The 19,709-nt window shown below is 41.4% G+C and overlaps 3 annotated features.

Annotated features, from left to right (window-relative positions):
- Positions 7,213-8,412: an enhancer, noted in NCBI's record as "MED14-independent group 3 enhancer chr7:41104940-41106139 (GRCh37/hg19 assembly coordinates)". NCBI's record gives its function as "activates an origin of replication core promoter dependent on BRD2, BRD4, P300/CBP and CDK7 cofactors, and independent of MED14, by STARR-seq in HCT116 cells {active_cell/tissue: HCT116}" and the evidence as "EXISTENCE:reporter gene assay evidence [ECO:0000049][PMID:35650434]".
- Positions 13,744-14,595: an enhancer, noted in NCBI's record as "OCT4-NANOG hESC enhancer chr7:41098757-41099608 (GRCh37/hg19 assembly coordinates)". NCBI's record gives its function as "activates a minimal SCP1, AML or CMV promoter by ChIP-STARR-seq in naive H9 embryonic stem cells {active_cell/tissue: H9 hESC(naive)}" and the evidence as "EXISTENCE:reporter gene assay evidence [ECO:0000049][PMID:30033119]".
- Positions 19,169-19,463: an enhancer, noted in NCBI's record as "tiled region #15680; K562 Activating non-DNase unmatched - State 24:Quies". NCBI's record gives its function as "activates a minimal TATA promoter and a strong SV40 promoter by Sharpr-MPRA in K562 cells {active_cell/tissue: K562}" and the evidence as "EXISTENCE:reporter gene assay evidence [ECO:0000049][PMID:27701403]".

The raw sequence follows: 19,709 nt of genomic DNA, 5'->3' as shown, positions 1-19,709 counted from the left end.
AATAATGTGTGTTTTCTTGTAATTTTCTAATTTTCTTTAAGAGCTTGGAGAGAGTGAGAGCAGGGAGCACTTTTGTACCTCAATACGCAGTTGTGCTTGGAGGGCCTGATCTTGGCTTTGCCTTCAACAACTTGGTTAAGGGGGTATGTGCTGGAGTTTACTTCTCCTGGGCACCTCTTCCTCTGGTTTGGGTTACCTTCAAAGACAGAAGTTCCTTCCTCCCATGCTCATTCAGGAAGGATCCTCAGAACCTCAACATTAGCTCCCAATTCTCCCTTCCCCTGCTTCACCCTCAGCTCTCAAGCATCTGTCCTAGTCCTCTCCTAGCAAGTGTAGGGCAAAGATCAGTAAATCCCATGGTTGAGGGCCCCAACTTCTCATTTAGAAGAAACCGGTGCAGCTCTTTGTTTAACTGGGCTGCTCTGTGTGCCTTTTCTACCAGGGCCTCAGAATACACTCCCGGATTTTTGGGTTATTTTCTCCTGTCTTCCATTCAGCTAAGTGCCTGTGTTTATTGGTGGAGTTTACCTATTTATTGGTGGAGAAACTAAGGTGACTCCAATTTTCCAGGTGGAAGTCTTGCCCAGTTTTTCATTTGTTTGACCTCAGGTGAGGCTTTGCAGTATTGAAGAGGGGCTTCCAATTTTCAGAGATTTTCTTTTCCTCCCATCTCCTGCCCAAGAACCTATACATACTTCCTCTGTCTAAGTGTCCCTCAGTTAGGGGGTATTAATGGAGTTTTGGTCTAGATTTTTCCACTTTTTTCCCAAGATTGATTCTGAAGGTCAGGTTGAAGAGTCACACCAATTCTCAAAATTAATTCTCTGTCTTTCCCTCCCCTCATTCATTACTTTTTAGTTTATGACCTTAAAGTTGCGCCTTTTTTTCTGCAAGATGTTTGTGTGTGCATCTTTGCTGATGTCTACTTACTTTGAGTTTGTTTGATTTTAGGAAATAGATACTATGCAATCCTTTTTCTCTCTACCACATTTCCTGAAATCTCCTACAGCCCCCCCCCCCGCCCCGCCACCTTTTCAGATGATACTGGTCAAAGAAAAATGAAGATATGATATTTATAATATTACTGGGTGTGTAATATAGAATTGGGTGACTGTTTTTCCTACCATTCTTCATTTACTCCAAATAGGGCTGATTTAAGTCGAAGAAGTAAAGGGACTTCAGGTTAAATGCATTCTGACTACTTTAAGTTCACAAAAGCCTTTCAAGGGACTGTGAAGCTCAGTTTGAATTGGAATTATTCTACGGGGAAAACAATAGTTCATTGACTGTATATTATTTTAGGGATTGCATTTTAGACATTAGGAAAAGCTACCAATTTGTACCTACTACTCTACCTTGAAGTACACATATTTAGGTCAAACATATTTATCTGTTAAGAGTACAATTATGTATTTACAAGATATGTTTAAACATTTGCAATGAATTCTTCCCATTCCAGTTCTCTTTAGCAAGGTTTTGAGTTCTGTGAGGAGCTGAAAACCTAGAGATGTTAGTTCCTGGCTCTATCAAAGCAGACAAGACCTACAAACATGGCCCTAAATAATCTTGGGTACCTAGTGAAATTGAGAAGATCAAACACATTCTGTGACAACAGCATCTTGTATCTTTCCTTGAGCTCTGTACCTCATATTGGTAGAAGCATTTGAAATTAGTCCATCAATGCTGAGAAGTTTAATCAACATGTATTGGGGCCTCCTTTGGGTCAATCTCTTTATACATCTTGTCTCATTTTATAATGATGGCAACTTTGAAAGGAGATATCCTGATCCCCATTTGAGAAGTATGGACACAGAGGCTTAGAGAAGTAGTAGAACTTACTGCAGATCACAGTGTAACTGTCCAGTGGGTTTTTTCTCAATCACTGCTCAGATAGAGCCAATTTTTCAATATAGAAAAATTGCAATTGAGAAGAGTTTAAGAGCTGGCTACACAGGTAACTGGAGTTTTATTATTACTCAAATCAGCCTCCCTGAAAATTCAGAGGCTAGGGTTTTTCAAGGATAGTTTGGCTGACAGGGGACTAAAGAATGAGTGCTGCCAATAGGCTGGAGGATGCAGTCATAGGGGTGTGGAAAATGGTCCTTGGGTGCAGAGTCTGTTTCTAGGTGGGGGCCACAGAGGAGTAGCTGGTCCCTGTGTGGCCATCCAGTCATCAGAAATGCAAAGGCCTGAAAGGGCATCTCAAAAGGCCAATATTAGGTTATTTACTGGAGTATTGGGGAAGTTACAAATCTTGTCACTGCTGGAATAATGGCTGGTAATCATCTAACTATGCCTATCATCTTAGCAGAATTCAGGCCCCCCCATCCTCCTAACCTGATGGCCTTTCATTAGTTTTACAAAAGTGATTTAGTTTGGGGAAGGGAAGGGCCATTATCATTTAAACTATAAATTAAATTTCTCCCAAAGTTAGCTTGGCCTACCCTTAAGACTTGGAATGACCTTGGAATGACCAAGGGCAGTTTGGAGATTAAAGGCAAGATGGAGTTGGTTAGGTCAGATCTCTTTCACTGTCATAATTTTCTCACTGTTATAATTTTTGCAAAGGCAGTTTCAACAGAGCTAATAAGGCATACAGACAGACTTTTAATCCACATCTCTCTAAATTCTTTTTATTATTCTATAATGCTTCTCAGAGGAGTCAAGAACCCTCCATCCTTGTTTACTGCAATTACTCTCAATAATGAATTACTTACTGCTTGTCTATCTGGCCACAGTGATTCAGACTTAAGGCTACTGTGTTTGATTGGATTTGTTCATTAGGTTCTGTCTGAAGGATATGAGAGACTAAAAACAGCTCAACATTAGTTAACTTTACTGACACAGAACTTGGGCAATTGACTTCATCCGTCTGTTTTAAGAAACTTGCTGAATCTTTACAAAGACAGCCAAACTGGCCAGGATAGAAACTTTGTATTTTCTGTCAATGTTTGAACCATACATACTTGTTCTGCTATGTGTATAATGTCATGAAAGTCCACACATGAATCACATATGGCTATTTGGGTCATAGTACACTTTTAAGAAGAAGGTGTAAAAATTGAAAGAAACAAAAAACCCTTTAGTCTATTGTTTTACTACATATTACTGTTCTTCATTTGATAGAGTTGATTTTGTTCATGAAATTTATTGCTTTAAACAAAATGAGTCATTCAAAATGTGATCAAAATAAGGATGTTTTGTAGTATCAGTGCAAAAAAAATAACAAATACATGTATGCATGCTGTGCACCTGGAACAAAGGCAGGATGTATAAATGCAGCCTTCACTGGTCTTCAGAATCACTTTTACATGTACAAATGAACAGGAAAGTAGCCCTTTTGTTGTTTGAAAATAATCGACTTCCTGTAATCCCAACACTTTGGGAGGCCAAGGCAGGCGGATCACCTAAGGTCAGGAGTTCGAGCCAGCCTGGCCAACATGGTGAAACCCCATTTCTGCTAAAAATACAAAAATTAGCCAGGCATGGCTGCAGGCACCTGTAATCCCAGCTGCATGGGAGGCTGAGGCAGGAGAATCGCTTGAACCCGGGAGGCAAATGTTGCAGTGAGCTGATGTGGCGCCACTGCACTCCAGCCTGGGTAACAAAGAGCGAAAAACTCTGTCTAAAAATAACAATAATAATGATAATAATAATTGACTTCTATCTTGCCTCTTCTTTCTAAAAAATTAAGGCTCAGTGTGTGACAAGGAGAAACAGTGAAATATCAGTTCTCTGAGAATGGGTTGTCACTAAAAGTTGGCTTCGAATCACCAGATTCAAGAAGCATGGAAGAAAAGCCAGATGTCAAGTCTTTAATATACTTAATGGAGATTCCCACTGCTCCCTCCAGTTAGAGAGCCAGATTTAAAGCCTGTGGGAGAGCCAGGGGGTCAAGGCACAGGGAGGTCTGGCCCAGAGAGTCCAGAGGATGATGACAGGATGGAGGAAATATCTGCACAGAGCAGATACACCCTAAAACAGTCATCAGACATTTTGCGTCTCTATTTGGGACGACCTCTTCTTATTAAAACACTCAGCCTCTCTGGGGAAGTTCATAGACTCAGGAGAGGTATTGCTTTGTTCTAAACCAAAGTCTGAACTATTACTTGAGGGTCATTGAGAATACATCACAAGGGCGTCATCTGTTCCAATGTTTTCATAATTTTTCCCCTATACAAGGTTGGCCAGGATAAAATCTAGACAGAAAGGTAATGATTACATAAAGGGAACAGTGAGCTATTACCTTGCTCATTTGTTGATGCGAATGATATCAGATAGTTTTGGCCACAAAACATGCCATTAGATCTAAATTTTCTAAATTTATTTTCTCCACAATATGTTTATTAAAAATTCACTTCTCCAAATTCACGTATGTAGATCCACAAAGATTTTGAGAGTCAAGATTAGAGTTAATATTTTGAAAAACAGTAAAACAATGACAACTTTATAATGTCTAAAAACTGGAACTTACTTGGCACAGGTTTATTTTGGTGAGGACATTTCTTTGTGATGAATACTAATAATAAAGGAATAAAATGTAATGTATTTTGTAATGGATTTAAAAATGTCACTAAGTGCAAGCATTTTCATCTCATTTCCTTAGGTAAGTGGGAGAAATCTATTTACCTTCAGGTCTCTTAAAATTATAGTCACTTGCCTCTGGACAGTTGCAATCCGATGGACAAAGAATTAACAAGAAAGAGCATTTTTGGTGCCCAAGAAAAGTTTTTATCAATAGTTTTACTTGATTCCAAAGACACCATTGCAACCTGAAATTATGACAAATGTGCACGTGGTCAAATTTTGAGAACATTGAATTCTGAAGTCCCACTGGCCTCAATAAAGAAGGCATTAATCTAAGGAAAATTAAACTGTTTCCAGTGAAAATATAATCAATCTCTTTGTTTGGTCATCTATAGAGCAAATTACCGATATCAATTTCTAAATTCAACTCATTTGTAGACAGACCTGAACTTCACTGGAATATTCTGGTGGAGGCAAAAGAACAGAGGGAAAATTATTGCAATCTTGTAAGGGAAAAAAGACAAACTAGGCCAATTATTGTAATTATAAGAAAATATACAAGAATAATTTTCTGTCGAGCCTAGGCAGTCCAATAGATTATGTGTAAAAGTTGTGGCAATTTAAAAAGTAACCATAATCATATTAATAATGGTTTGAGATCAAACCATTGGATGAAATACACCTTGTATGTATAAAGCAGAGAGAGGATAAAATTTTATTAGATATTTAAGGCACCTTTATTTGAAGTTATAACTATTACAATTCAGGATGGCAAATGCAAAAAATAAGTCAAGATTATGGGATAAAGTTCAGTATCGTATAATTATTTGGGAAGTTACAATAATTTCATTTATCTGTAAATGAAGGAACTCCAATGACTGGATAGCTTTTGTTTTATTTATCCTTTTTTTTTTTTTTTAAAGTACTAAGCTACATTCACTGTGACTTTGGCTTGTGGGAGAAAGAGTCCATGTCATTCTTGTTGTGCCTGTAAATGCTTTTTGGAGGGCTTCCTGGCTTCTTTCATTCCTGTACATTTACCATTAATTGTGTTTAAGGTTTGGATGAGGCAGGGACCCAGAAGAGACATTAAGCTGCATCACTCAATAAAACATTGCCTTTTCAGCCTGAGGCATGACCCTCTGGACTTAGGTGGGGTCGCTGTTGGGATATCAAGGTCTGCCTGCCCCAAAATAGCAGTTGCCATGAAAAAGCCAGGGTGGGACCTTCAAGTACTGTACAGCATGGGCAAACCTGAAGCTCTTTTGAGTGGGAGAAAATAGCTCAAACTTTAAAACTGGCCTGAGGAGCAGCAAGCAGGTCCCCAGTGCATTCTTCACAGTGCTTTCCACCTTTAATTTAGATATTTCAAGGGAAATTTAATCCATATGTTTTGGATTCATTTGGGCTTAACTCATAAATATGCTTCATCAAGGACTGCCAAGCTCTGTGTTCCTGTTCACTAGAATCAAGTAGTTTCACGGGACAGCAGTACAGACAGAGGAAATTTGATATCCAAGGGTCCATCACCCAAACAAGAAAAAGAAACCATCAGGTTCAAACCACTGTGTGTAAATAATCCTAGAACAGTAATTTGCCCTGCAACACTGTCATGGTAAAATAAGCCACTTATGCCTGTAGGGAATACATACCGATACACAAGCAGTAGATACATGTCCTTTCCCAGAGACATATCTCAACACATGGACTTTATCATTGTCAGTTCCAGAAAGGTTAACAACTCAAAGAAGAAAACAGAAGTTTCTACCTTTTTAGCATCTTTTAAAATCCATACATACTCTTCTCCCTCTGTCTCTCACTTTGTCTTCCTGGCTCAGTGTGTCTCTCGTATAAACATCCCCTTCACTGGGACTCTACCAGGCCACAGGCTGAGAATCCCTGTACCTTCTGGATACCACTACTAGGTCAGATAACTTTGACCAAGTTTACTTTCTTAAATTTGTGTTGCTCAACTGATACTTTTCCAATATAAAATGATATTGTATTACTGAATATGTTTTTGTCCAAACCACATTTTTGAGATTATTTTATGATTTCCTAGGGGACCACCCCTTACAGGTAAAGAATCCCTTCTGTGTTCACTTCTTGGAATAATGCAAGGGCAGGGTTATCAATGAGAATGGTATTTGGCTCCTACCCCTTATTGACTGATTGATTGATTTCCTAAATGTTATAGATTCAAGATGACCAACTTCAATGTCCTTTTAATCAAACACTGTCATTCAGGGCAATAGGTGATTTTAATACTCTGTATCATAACATCTGTGTTTAGGAATTTTCATAAGTAAAGAACAGGAAATCCATGGCCCATTTCCATATCAGTTCAAATTTCTTGTGCCAATGACACCGAATACCTCAAAGCATCTGAGGGCATCTAGTAGCCAAATACATTTCAGGTATTAGAGAAGCCTTGGCATGGTTGTTATCTTGATATTCTCATATTATAGAAAGTGAGATGGGAAAGAGTAGCGCAGGGTGTTATGTCAGATGGGATCCAAGGATCTACACACACTGAACTCACAATTTTCAGTGAGGATAGACAGAGGAATGATGGTGGACAAAAGCCCAACAGTTGCAGAGTTAAGATGGCTTGGGCTAACATTGTCCTTAGGCCATATTCCCTTAGCATTCCTTACCCCAGAGAGTGCAATAACAATTATGATGTCTATTGGTTTGAACGTGTGATTAAAAAAATAAATAATAATTAGATTGGACGACTGGGTAATAATATAAGCTCTAACTATCTTTTAAAGTGCTCAACATCGTAGGCCAAATGTCCAAAGATTTTTGACTCATGGAAAAGAATGACATTGCATTTTCCCATCAACAGGAGAGAAATATACATACTCTGGTTGCAAGACACAGCAAGATAAGCAAGTTCACAACAGTGTGGCATCAACTCAGGTTGTTCTTTTCTGCAGGTGGAGCTTGGTATCAGGTGATGCTCATTTTCCACCACTGTGCCTTTTACAGTAGGAGACACCAGTAGTGAACCTTCGCAGGGCCCAACATGGTAACTGTGTTTTGCCTACAACCCTAAATTCATCCTGGTGGGTGTGGTGATTTGATGAGGTATAATAAGGCTTCAGGAAAAAGAAAGCAGAGACAAAAGATGAAAGAGAGAGGAGAAACCAAGTAAGTAAAGAATGTTTATACTAGTTTCCTAGCTGGTGAGAGCTACCAAATCCCTCTCCTGGTTTCAGTGCAAGACAAACAAGGAAGGAATCGTGCCGCTCAGCATTGGTTTGAAAGCACCGGATTGAGGCAGTCTCAGCCTGAGCTGGCAAACCCTGCTGGGAACCTTGGCAAATTTACCTGGGTTACTCCAACAACCCTTTCCTCCCGCCTTCCCCACCCACAGCCTGAAGGCATTAAACTGCTTCTGAGCAGCTGGCCTGGACTCTCCCTAAAGCCACACAAAGCAGCATTCTCCTTACTGCCATTACACTGGTGAACCCTTCATGGGTCAACATAGCTGTCAATTACAATCCCATTTCTTTCAAAGGGCAGTTTTAACTTTTAATATGCTCCTAGGTGTGTCAGACATTATCTATCTCTCTATCTATCTCTCTATCTATCATCTATCTATCATCTATCTATCTATCTATTATCTATCTATCAAAAAAGGCTATTAGGTTTATAAATCTTGATTTCTAATTTTTGCAACACTTCTATGAGGTAGGAAGTTGCAACATATTTACATCTAATTGACGTTTTCATGTCTTACAGGTGGTCAAAAGTGGTTTCCATTCAGCCTTGGGTAGGTCTCCCTTTTTATCCTCTGAAATACCCTAAACAGGTAATGATTGAGTGAGGTAGAGACCTTTTGAGGTGAATGTCCTTGGAGAGAGGCTCTTACTAATGTAAAAGCGCTTAGCATTTTGAGCTGTGAGACATTTCTTTCACTTCTAGTTCCCTTTGGGGTATTACCAAAGGGAGAGATGCAACTTACCATCTCAACAAGAAAGTCAGAATCATGAATCAGGACCCACAATGCAAATGATTTCATAAAGCTTGGGAAACAGTGTAACTTCTTTCTTTTCCTAGGCCCATTTTGCCTGTATTGAGATCAGTAATTGGATCCTCACCCTGAGGAAAACATAGGTTCTTCTCCATGGAAGCAACACACAGTGAGGAAGACAGAGAGACCATGCCGTACTACACAGCCTGTGTTGTGAACAACAGAACACCAAGGATCTAATGATCCAGTCACAGTGGAAGTCTTCTAGGAAGAGAAATGCCAAGCCAGCCCTGAGCCAGGGAAGCAACTCAGGCTAAAAACAGAAAGAGCTGATAGGTTTTAGGACCCTTCATTTCATAGTAATGGTGGAGAATTACTACCACAGTGAAAGGGGGTGAAAGCCCAAGATTGGAGAGTGTGGAGAAGCAATGTGGTAGTAAGAAAACCAATTACTTCAGCTCTTCAATCCTGGGAGGTTTTGAGCTATTAAGGGTGTGTGGTGGATGCCTAATTTGTCTGTCTACCTGGAACCCATCCTTGCTCTTTTGGTAAAACCGCCTGGATTTTTCCGTGGAAAAGCCTTCCCCCATCCTCAGTGTAGTCTGCTCTCAGGCTCAGTGTGGACAAGTATCCTAGTTGTCAGTCATTGTCAGTCAATCAGCTTACCTGGCTTCTGGCCACAGTGATTGGTACAAGACTGAGCAGATGATCAATTCTTTGTCAAAGACTTACGTCAGAGCTATCGGCAAAAAATAAAAAAGAGGGGGAAAAGGTTGATTCCCTCTGGACTTGCATCCATGAGGATGAAAAAATGTGAAGTGTCAGGAACTACAGGGCAAAACTGAGTCCTGACGGCATCCTTTGGGTTCCTGGATCTGCCCTGTGGTTGGGCTTTTCAGTTAAGTAATCACTGACCTTTCCTTGTCTGTTTAAGCTCATTGCACTTTGGTTTTCTGTCACTTGCACCTAGAAATCCTGACTAGTACAGAAGAGCATCAAGTAAAAACAAAGTGACTTATACAAAATGATAAAATTTTTAAATGAGCAGACAGATTAATTTAACTAGAGTGAGAGTCCGTATAAGAGAGTAATGAGAAAACCATATGATCATCCCAATAGATGTTGAAAATGCATTGGATAGACTCCAACACCATATGTGATTTTTTTAAAAGAAACAAAAGACTTAAGTAGAAATAGATAGCTATGTCCTTATCATGATCAGAAACATCTATTCTAAATGTCACCCTTGGTAATAAAACACTAGAGGCCTTCTAATTAAAAATAGCCAAAAAACTAGATAGGTAGGTAGATAGATCAACAATTTATAGATTTGATAGTTGCACAAATTCCTGACAGCTATTTTTCTTATGTTGTTCTTGGAACTTTAACAAGTGGTTCTGAAGTTTATGGAAGAAAATGCTGAACAGCTAAGGCATACTCTAAAAGATATTAAAATATATTTTAGTGCAATAATAATACAAGTAGTATATCACAGGCATAAAAATTGATCAACGCATCAGTGGAGTTGTTCAATAAGTGGTTTACTAAATTGATGGTTTGGCAGGAAATGAAGTTAGTTTTTATTTATTAAATATTTAATATTAACTGATATTGTGATACAAACTTTCTAAAAAGCAGTAGAAAAAGCAAAAAGAAGAGAAAATAGAGGAAGTTATTACACAAGAAATTATTAGTAGGTTACTTCAGCTATACATTAGGTTTCTTAGGAAAACAGAAAAATAAACAACAAACTGCAAGAAAGAATTACAACAAATGTCAGGAGATGAATATTCTTAATATGCAAAACTTTTTTTTCCAATTCGATATGAAAAATACTTATTTACTAACAAAGTCCTATGAAAGGACATGGTTTGGCAATTCTCAGGGCAAGGAAAAAATTGCAATGGTTAATACAGGAAACAGGCACTGTTGCAATCTGTTAATGGGAAAAAAAATTGTTTAAACGTTTCTAGAAGGCAATTAGGTCATAAGCATCAAGAACCTTAAACATTTCATACTTTTCCACCCAGTGATTCTGTTTTAGGATGTCTCTTGAGGATACAATCGGAGATAAACAGCCAATAAGGGCAAGATTGTTCAGAGCAGACTTACGTAAAATGGCAAAACTTGATCCAACTGAATAAATAAATTATAATACATCCATTTAATTTACAAAATCATAGAGGTATTTTCTAACACATTTTAAAATTTATAAATTTTAGAGCATGAAAAAGAATATTATTTATAAAATATAGGTAATGTAATTATAGGTTATTTTCATTTTAGTTTATTTTAGTTTGTCTTTTTAAAGAAACATCAGAAAGAAAACTGAAAGGCAAATTCGTAGTTAGTCATTTTAGATGGTCTCCTATTAATACAACTGAAAACTGCCATGATTTTTAATTTTCTTAATCAAAGTATACACTGAATATATATAAGTATGTGATTTTTAAAAAATTGCATGCATTTTCCTTTCAATAAATGCAATTTATTAAGCATATGGATAGTTGTAGTTTTAATGTTTTATATTTTATTTAAAGTTAACCCTCACATTTTATACAAAGTATTTTTCAGAGGCACGTTTTCAAATAGGACCACCAAGCTCAGTTGTGCATGTACTGTTTATGTGGATCAATCTTGTCACCTTAACTACATGAAGGGGTGGGGGAAAATATTCTTTTTCTGTGGGTTTCTTGGTAACCATGCTTAGAAAACATCTAAGGGGGCCGGGCCTGGTGGCTTATACCTCTAATCCCAGCTCTTTGGGAGGCTGAGGTGGGCGGGTCACCTGAGGTCACGAGTTCAAGACTATCCAGGCCAACATGGTGAAACCCCATCTCTATGAAAAATACAAAAATTAGCCCGGTGCAGCCGGGCGCGGTGGCTCACGCCTGTAATCCCAGCACTTTGGGAGGCCGAGGCGGGCAGATCACGAGGTCAGGAGATCGAGGCCATCCTGGCTAACACAGTGAAACCCCGTCTCTACTAAAAATACAAAAAAATTAGCCGGGCATGGTGGCGGGCACCTGTAGTCCCAGCTATTTGGGAGGCTGAGGCAGGAGAGTGGCGTGAACCTGGGAGGCAGAGCTTGAAGTAAGCCGAGATCGAGCCGCTGCACTCCAGCCTGGGCAACAGAGTGAGGCTCCGTCTCAAAAAAAAAAAAAAAAAAAAAAAATTAGCCTGGTGTAGTGGTGCAGGCCTTTAATCTCAGCTACTCGGGAGGCTGAGGCAGGAGAATCACTTGAACCTGAGAGGTGGAGGTTGTAGGAGCCAAAACTTCAGCCCAGACAACAGAGCGAGACTGTCTCAAAAAAAAAAAAAAAAGACAGAAAGAAGAGAGAAAGGAAAGAAAGAAAGAAAGAGAGAGAGAGAGAGAGAAAGAAAGAAAGAAAGAAAGAAAGAAAGAAAGAAAGAAAGAAAGAAAGAAGAGAAAGAAAGAAAGAAAGAAGGGAAAGAAAGAGAGAAAGAAAGAGAAAGAAGGAAGGAAAGAAAGAAAGAAAGAAGGGAAAGAAAGAGAAAGAAAGCAAGGAAGGAAGGAAGGAAGAAAGAAAGAGAGAGAGAAAGAAAGAAAGAAAGAAAACAGAAAATATCTAAGGGAAAAAATTAAAAATATTTAACGTTAAAATCAGGAGCCATTCTTGTACTTTCAAGCCTCTCACAATACCTGGTACCATGAGAAGAACCCTGTTGGGGTGTCAGTTAGTATGTGCGGATGCAAAGACAAGCAAATACTTCAGCCTTTCTACCCTTTGGTTTCATCATCTGTGAATGGGGATTATGAAAACTATCCACATGAAGCCCCCAAAAGGGTGCATGGCACCCAGTCACACTGTGGACATTTGCTCCACAGACTCCCCTCAGCATCCCTGGCACCGCAGAGGGACACACAGGCCACGGATGCAGGGGGAGTGTGGTGCCAGCTCTGTGGCTACGCCCACTTCCCAGGTGGTCTCCTCTCTTTACCCTGGCTGTGTTTTACTTCAGGAGAATCTGACCTGGACCCGCCCAGGGCAGAAGCAAGCGTCCAAGCTGCTCTGATGGCTGACCATGTGATTAGAAATGGATTCCTCTGTGAGCTGTACGAATCATTTATTGATAGCAAGAGTAGGTAAGGAATTTCCCATGCTTGACACACAGCTACAGCCTGGCACTCAAATGCAAGCCCAGTGCACGTGAAGGCAATCCACACCCCTGTTGCCATTGTCAGTCATGCCTCAAAATGCCCTGAAGTTTAGAATAATGTACGTGTTAGATGTGCTGAGTCCAGCTGCTAGCACACGGCTGACCCTAGCCTGCGGGCATACTGCCCAAGCCATTTCCTGCATGTGGCATGGAATTGGAAGTGAGGGAACATGGGTGGACAGAGGAAGGCTTTATCATGTTTTCTAATTGATGAGATATTTTTCAATAAAAGTTTTTGCTAACAATATCGCCTTGTGTTCCAGGGACAAAGCACTTATATTACACTAATCTTTAGGCAGGTGCCATTGTCTGTGTGATTTATTTACCTATAAGTCCTTTTTGAAAACCTCGAACTGAGGTACCATCTTCAATACTTCCTCTGTGAAAATGCAAATACTCAAGGCATTGTTGAAAGATATACTATGCCCCATCTATTGTTCTTACCTTCCCAAGGATGATTTCTGAGAGCAGGCTTGACTGGGAAGAAGGGTGCCACAAACACACTAGTCTCTGGAGGTGATGGGATGGTGAGGATGAAGAACATCATTGAGGAGGGAGGTGAGGAAGGGCATTGAGAACCTTGCTCTCATCCTGAGGGCTGGCCCAGGCTGCCCAGTCGGGGCTTGGGCATAGGTGCTGCTCCCTCTCCCCCTGTACTCCCGCTCCGATGGCTCCATTCCTTTCATCTCTGTCCCTTTACATGTATTTGTATGTGTTCGGAACTCCTTTGAATTTTCCTCCTCATGGTTGAAGACACATTTTCTCAGTTCCTTGATGATGGCCGAGGCTTGCGCATTTTGGTATCTCTCTGGGCTAGAGTAAAGGGAAGCAGAATAGAAATTCTCCTGACAATTTAGTCATGTCTGTGTCAGAGGAAAAATGGGGAATAGTTGTGAGAGTTTCAACACATCGCTGATGATACATGGGGTGTTAGAGGAATCCCACACTTACTATTTTCTCTGAAGTGTATTGAGTCTTTTCCAAGTGTACCTGTGTAAGCAATCACCTGATGTCCTAACCTTCTCCTGCCACACCTGAAGCTGGGAACCGGGAGTGAGGTTCCAGTGAGAATGCTGACCTTCAACCAAGGGTGAATAATGCCAGTGAGTTGTCTCAGAAAAGCCATTGCCATAGGTGCTTTTCTCAGATACCCGAATTGAACTTTCTCATGTCCCATCAGCACCTTGATACCAGCACAATCAGGGGCTTTTAAATATACCTGGTGGACAGATAACTTATTCCCTTTTTCAAACTAGGATACTCTCGGCTACCCACTGTAAACTAAATACTCCTCTTCTTGGAAATTCAGAATGGGTCTGTGTGATATCAAACACCTATGCTGGGAAAAACAGGAGCAAACAAAGCCATAAGGGACTGCCTTTGAAATGGAGCCTGGGAACCACTCAGCCACACAGCAGTATTTGTTTGCTTTCCTTGTTTCCTCAGAGCTGTGCTCACCTGGAGGCAACAACCTGCACTTTGTCATTTGCTGAGATGAGGAGGGACAAAGGAAGGGAGGCACTTTATCTGGCTTGTCAGCATTCCCAATGGGAGAGGGTTTAAAGAGTTCATATCTTAAGTAACCCTCAACCTGCTGTTTCTTTCACTTGGGGATATGCCAAGGGCTGTGGCTGACTCAGCTTGGGCCCAATTCTGCAGTCATTACCTAAGCCCAAAGTTCCTGATTCCTTGGTTCCTCCAGTGGGGAGTTTTGCCACATAGAGAGGGTAGGGACGGCACCTTGGCTGGGACTAGCACTGCATTAGTTATGTTTGAGGCTGTTATTTTCCTCTGAACTCTAATTGTTGGTATCAAAAGGATTAAGGGGAAAAAGCAGCTCTCTTTTCCAGGAGCAGCCCAGTTGGCAACATAGTAATCCCTCCTTGCTCCAGCAGGAGAGTAGGGGAGGGGGCAAGAGCCAAATCATTAGACTCTTTTGGGTCACAAGGAATAGACATAGGCTGTCCACCTTATTTGAGGGCTGCTGCTTGAAAGGAGACAAAATGAAGGGATCATTCTTTACTTGGACTTAAATGCTATCTACGGCAAAACCCAGACCTTGCTGATCGAAACGCCTCATTTTCCCCAGGTCAAGAGCCTGTGATTTTCTCTTCCCCAGGGCCCTGCCATATTGGTGCTGTGCCTCCTCCCTGTCTCTGTGATCAAGTAATCTAGTGACTGCGTATTTTGGGTTCAAACTCCACAAGGAAGGGTTTCCTGGTTAAGTTAATCCCTATCAGTGCCCTGTTGATGAGAGCTTTCCCCCAATCTGCCCATTGGCTGACCTCTATCCAGAGGACTGTCTTTGGCCCCGATCCCCACCCTTGGTCCACAGGTGAGACCAGCTCACGGGATCCCATGGTGTGACCCATTTTGATTTGTGCCCGAGGGACTGCCGTGGCTTATGGCCTCAGATGGGGACAGTGGATGTGGCAGCACTCAGAGTATCATGTTTTGCCCAGTTCTGGAGAGGCAGGGATGGCAGTGGGATCTGCTAAATTCTCTAAATAATTTGAGGTAAAAGTTTAGCTTTTCCTCCTCTATCTTAGCATTACTCAAAAGCACCATGAGGACAATGTTTCTAATTCCTGTAAAGGACCCTGAGCAGCTCTGGCACATGGAGGACTCACCAAAGAGCTAAGCTCTAGCACACCTGGGTGCCAGCACCTCAAGAGTGAATTTGGGTCCTGTTAAGTGTGAGAGGTGGTGACAGAGGTGACACTGACAGATTGAGCAAGAGAGGAAGGGTCTTGGTGGTTGAAGCTTAAAGAGAACTGACTGTGAGATCACTTGGAAACCCCCTGATGACCCTAAAACCTAAATGTGGGACCTTTGGGAAAGGGCTGGAGCCCTAAACTGACAGGCACAAGAGAAACCACTAAAGCACGTGCTATGATAAGGATAAGAACAAGAAAAAATCATCAGGAAAGGAATAGAAAAAGAAAAGTAAATTAAGGGAGAACTTCAGCTTTGTAATGTGGAGAAATCAGCAGCCAATTCTGAGATTCCTTTCACTCAGGATTTTAGAAAGATATCCAAAATAAAGCCCAACCCAAGAACAATAATTGTTATTCCCAGAGCAGTGAGAGAGTATATATATATAGACATACATATACATACATACATATATACCACACCAGGAGTCAACAAAAGTAACTGTATTAGTCTGTTCTCATGCTGCTATGAAGAAATACCCGATACTGGGTAATTTATAAAGGAAAGAGGTTTAATTGACTCACAGTTCCACAGGGCTGGGGAGGCCTCAGGAAACTTACAATCATGGCAGAAGGGAAAGCAAACAGGTCCTTCTTCACATGGCAGCAGGAAAGACAAGTGCAGGGTAAGTAGTTGGGGGAAGCCCCCTATAAAACCATCAGATCTCATGAGAACTCACTCACTATCATCAGAAAATAAGTATGGGGGTAACTGCCCCCATGATTCAATTACCTCCCACTGGCTTCCTCCCCCAACATGTGGGGATTATGGGAACTACAATCCAAGATGAGATTTGTGTGGGGACATAGCTAAACCACATTAGTGACATTTTAAGGGAAATGCCATCAAATGATGGTTTGAGATGAAAATGATGAGCTTTGGAGCTGAAATGGGCAGAAAAATTCAGGTTGTAAGCTTTATCTTGTGGAGCAAACCAAGTTGCCAGCCCAGCTGAAACAATAATCTATTATATGAGCTTCTGACCACACTAGATATCAACATCTTGGTTATAATAGTTCATTCAACCCACCAGGTGAATACGTCTACCTGTAAACATACCTTGTAAGTGTTCCTTAACAGGAGACCTTAGGAAGGTAAAAGAAGAGGATTTGTTAAAAATGGATGGAGAATGATATTTTAAGATACAAGTCAATACAAATTAATACATACCATAAATCAGCAATTTTTTTAAAAGTGGCTTTAATATAAATTTGCAGTTCTTCCACGTTTAGGAGTTGTTGGGAACTCATAGACTGGGAGTAAGCTAGTGTTGTGATATCCGTCAAGTTAAGCTCATATTCCTCCAGCTCTACTGGTGTTCTGAACACCAGTAGATCTACCCCATGACCTCATTTTCTTATAGCAGGGCTTTCCCTCATCTCTCCTGCTGATAAAGTGTCTCAAAGTTAATTTTAAGATCGGTCTTTATCAGGAATTGCTAATGAGGCTGTGCTTCCCGCCAGTCCCATCTGGAGATACTGATTGCCTGTTCTGCCTGGGTCCCTGGGCATTCTCTCCCATTTCCTCCCGAGTTCTTCCTCTTTTTGTTGGGTTCCAGGTTACCTCTGATATTCCTGATTTGTGTTCTCTGCCTGCTGTGGTTATGGAAAGACCTAATTCTGCCTCTTGGGTTAGGTCAGAATATCCCTCAATATTAAGCAGAAATATAAATTCCATGCCCTGCTCCATGCAATGCTGGTAGGAGTCCCCTCGATAACTGCAACTTAGGAGCGACTCCTGGTTAGCCATATTATGCCTCCTGTGACAAAGGCTTTGGTTACTAGAGCTGCAAAGAGGCTCCAAGCGCTTCTGCATACCCCCAACACCAATATATTTTGTAGTTTCTGAAAAGTACCAAGCCTCCTATCACAAGAACTGCTGTGACCTACACCACCCCTCCAAGCACGATCATCCCACCACTATTATTTTATACTTGTATATTGCTTTGTAGCTATCAAGGTGTTCCCATAATCTTTGCCATGTCTGATATGCACTAACTCCTATGACCTAGTCACAGTACCTGTTGTTATTTTGACTTTTTAAAAATGAGGATTCCAAAACTTAGGCTATGTGCCTCAAGGTCAAGGCTTGGCCCTTGGCCCAAGGTTACATGGCTAGTAAGTGGCAGAGCCAGGTTAAGCCAGATGCTCAAGGCATTCACTATGCTCAGGGCCCCTCTTCAGCTTAACCTCTCCCCCATCATTTGTCCAACTCCACAGGGAGCTGCCCTCTGAGAGCTTCGAAAGATGAAGTCTGGAAAGGATCTGACAAACTCATGAGTCTCAACATGTCACCCCTCTCAAGGACATTGCATTTTGATGAGCTTTGTTCAGTTATGTAACATGAAGGAACGCTCTCCTAAATATAAAATTGCAGACATTGGTGAGAAGTTAGTTGAGGAGGTATTGGTGGAAAATGGGAACTTTCTGACACCTCTCAAATCACATCCTGTCCAGGATCCTCATCAGATGGACTCCCTATTCCTCCTGAGGCCGACCCACTTTGGAGGTGTTGATTTATGCGTACGCTAGGAGAGTAAATCCAGGCAGAGGGGCTGCATTGCCGTTCATTGGTAGCAGGGTCTGTGTTGTGTTTCGATCTCACGCTTACTTATCAAACATGCACGGGCTTTTCTCATGCATTTTTTTAGTCCAGTTTTACTTTATTCCCTGTCACATCTGGTGGTACCAGGTCTCTAACCATAAAAAGAGGCAGCCCAGCAATCCAAACCTTGAACCCGCAGCAACTGTGGCAAACAGCAAGGAAGGGTTAACCGGTTTTGCACGAAGCAAGCCTGGCTCACCCCTGCGAATCTCTTTTTCACATTTGCTGCTTATTCATAACTCAAGCCCATCTGCTGCGCAAGTAATGATCAGCGGCTCCTGTTTCAGATGTCAACCGCCCCAGCTGTTTCTCTCTCTCTGTAAACACGAAGCGGGGAGCAATTACCACAAAATTAATATCCAGGCTTGATTATTTCTATGCCATGAAATGAAGACTGATGAGCTCTCTTCCACGCCCACCACCACCTCAGCCTCACACAATGCACACCTATGCAGCACAGCCCAGGCTAAAACCTCCCAAGAAGTCCCAGGTCGGTGAAGCTTGGAGGCTATGCTATGACCCAGGCCACCTGGAAATGCCAAAGTGAGCCTCATGTGTGTGGGAAAGCTGACAAAAAACTTAATTCCTGCTAGGCTTTGAGAGTGAAGTCCACACTGAAATTGAGCAATGAGGCTTGGAGACACTCCATTTAAGGTCAGGCTGACTCTTAGATAGGTTTTGATAGAGAGTCCTCATAACTCCTTCCATCAGCATTCTTTGATTTAAGGTAAATGTCAGACACAAGTCATTGTGGACAGCATGTCTCCCTCTCTGTTTTTTTCTCTACCATCCTGAAGCGGCAGGAATTGGAATGATCGGCCTCATCTCAAAAACTTCCTTCCATTATTGAACAAGCCTGTATGAAACATCAGCACATCTTCCTTCAGTCACAAGCATGCACTGAAGCCCCTGGTATGAGGCGCTAGCAAATGCAAGGCTCCACACAGAACATTTCCTGCCCTCCCCAGACTTCATGCTGGGGTAAGCATTTAAAAAAAAAAAGAGGATGAGGAAAACTCAGTCTGCCTGGCTTCAGCTCTTGGCTCTGCTACTTGCCATGTGCATGGTCTTGAGGAAGTTCCATGACCTGTCTGTGCCTCAGCTTCCTCAAGGATAAAATGAGGCTATACGGTTGTGGAGAGGACTGAAAGAGCTAATCGGTATGAAGTGTTGACTGCAGGCCCTGAACACATAAGTGAAATACAGGCGCTGTTGGTGTGCTGCCCCACTACCTTGAAGAATTTCCATGTAATAATATCTGGACAAACCATTGGGCGGCTTCACAGAGGAAACACACGTCAGCCAAGTCTCGATCAATGAACAGGAGCTCAATAGTCTGAGAAGATATGGAAGGCAAAGGAACAGCCATGACAAAGTGATGAAGGAATACAATGACAAAGGAATACACATTCGACATTAATTAAGTCATCCAGGGAAACAGAAGTGTAGGGTGCATGGTGGCAGGAAGATGATAGAGCAAGAAGGGAAGTTAAGTTTGGAACAGATTGAAAAAGACCCCAGTGATAAACTAAGAAGTTAAGATGTGTTCTTATAAAGAATGGGAAGCCTTGGTAAGTCTGTCAGTAAGGACATAACCCAAACAAATCCATACCAAAATAATTACTAAGAGCAGGCTGTTTGGAGGCTCAGTTGAAGTAGCCTCCTGACAAGGAAGTCAGCAGGACACCCCCCTCCTGGA

The sequence above is a fragment of the Homo sapiens genome, chromosome 7 (genome assembly GCF_000001405.40).
Source record: "Homo sapiens chromosome 7, GRCh38.p14 Primary Assembly".
NCBI classification, from domain to species: Eukaryota; Metazoa; Chordata; class Mammalia; order Primates; family Hominidae; genus Homo; species Homo sapiens.
The sequence above is the reverse complement of the archived record's forward strand: the minus strand, read 5'-3'. Positions and strand labels throughout refer to the sequence as shown.